Raw genomic sequence first — 1,288 nt, forward strand, 5'->3', positions numbered from 1 at the left:
TCCACTCCAGACCCTGTTTGCCTGGGTATCAGCAGTGGTGGCTGCAGAATGCGGATTTTCTTGAACCGCGAATGCTGCTGTCTGATCGTTCCTCTGGAAGTTTTGTCTCAGAAGAGTACCTGGCCGTGTGAGGTGTCAGTCTGCCCATAGTTGGGGGTGCCTCCCGGTTAGGCTGGTCGGGAGTCAGGGGTCAGGGACCCACTTGAGGAGGCAGTCTGCCTGTTCTCAGATCTCCAGCTGCGTGCTGGGAGAACCACTGCTTTCTTCAAAGCTGTCAGACAGGGACATTTAAGTCTGCAGAGGTTACTGCTGTCTTTTTGTTTGTCTGTGCCCTGCCCCCAGAGGTGGAGCCTAAAGAGGCAGGCAGGCCTCCTTGTGCTGTGGTGGGCTCCACCCAGTTGGAGCTTCCCAGCTGCTTTGTTTACCCAAGCAAGCCTGGGCAATGGCGGGCACCCCTCCCCCAGCCTTGCTGCTGCCTTGCAGTTTGATCTCAGACTGCTGTGCTAGCAATCAGTGAGACTCCGTGGGCATAGGACCCTCCAAGCCATGTGCGGGATATAATCTCCTGGTGCACCGTTTTTTAAGCCTGTCAGAAAAGCGCAGTATTAAGGTAGGAGTGAACCGATTTTCCAGATGCCGTCTGTCACCCCTTTCTTTGACTAGGAAAGGGAACTCCCTGACCCCTTGCGCTTCCCGAGTGAGGCAATGCCTCGCCCTGCTTCGGCTCGTGCATGGTGCACTGCACCCACTGTCCTGCACCCACTGTCTGGCACTCCCTAGTGAGATGAACCCGGTACCTCAAATGGAAATGCAGAAATCACCCGTCTTCTGCATCGCTCACGCTGGGAGCTGTAGACTGGAGCTGTTCCTATTCAGCCATCTTGGCTGCCCTCCTCCAGCAATGACCAAGAATGGTTTTCCTTACCCAATCAACTTTTGAGAGGTTAACAAGAAGAAGAAAGAAATAGAGAAGCTGGAGTAAGAGAGAATGGCATCATGACAGATTTTTCAGGTACAGTTAAAATGGTTAATGTGACAATAGCTCAGCAATAGTGGGACAACAAATGGGACTTAAGCAACTACATTATAGGTAAAAGAGATGATTCTTTGTCCTAAACAATAATCATAGGCTAGCCGCAATTTATTTGGCAGATAATCAGTAGACTATGTTAAGATTCATGCACATCATTCTAAAAACCACCATCTGAAAGTGTATTTAAAGGAATCAAAAAACTACCAGAACTGAAACTTTTCTTTATTTTTTTAACTGAAAACACACCTATAATTA

At 49.1% G+C, this 1,288-nt stretch overlaps 1 annotated feature.

Moving 5' to 3' along the window:
* Nucleotides 333–961: an enhancer, noted in NCBI's record as "H3K27ac-H3K4me1 hESC enhancer chr3:95006249-95006877 (GRCh37/hg19 assembly coordinates)". NCBI's record gives its function as "activates a minimal SCP1, AML or CMV promoter by ChIP-STARR-seq in naive H9 embryonic stem cells {active_cell/tissue: H9 hESC(naive)}" and the evidence as "EXISTENCE:reporter gene assay evidence [ECO:0000049][PMID:30033119]".

Source organism: Homo sapiens, chromosome 3, assembly GCF_000001405.40.
Source record: "Homo sapiens chromosome 3, GRCh38.p14 Primary Assembly".
In the NCBI taxonomy this organism is placed as follows: domain Eukaryota; kingdom Metazoa; phylum Chordata; class Mammalia; order Primates; family Hominidae; genus Homo; species Homo sapiens.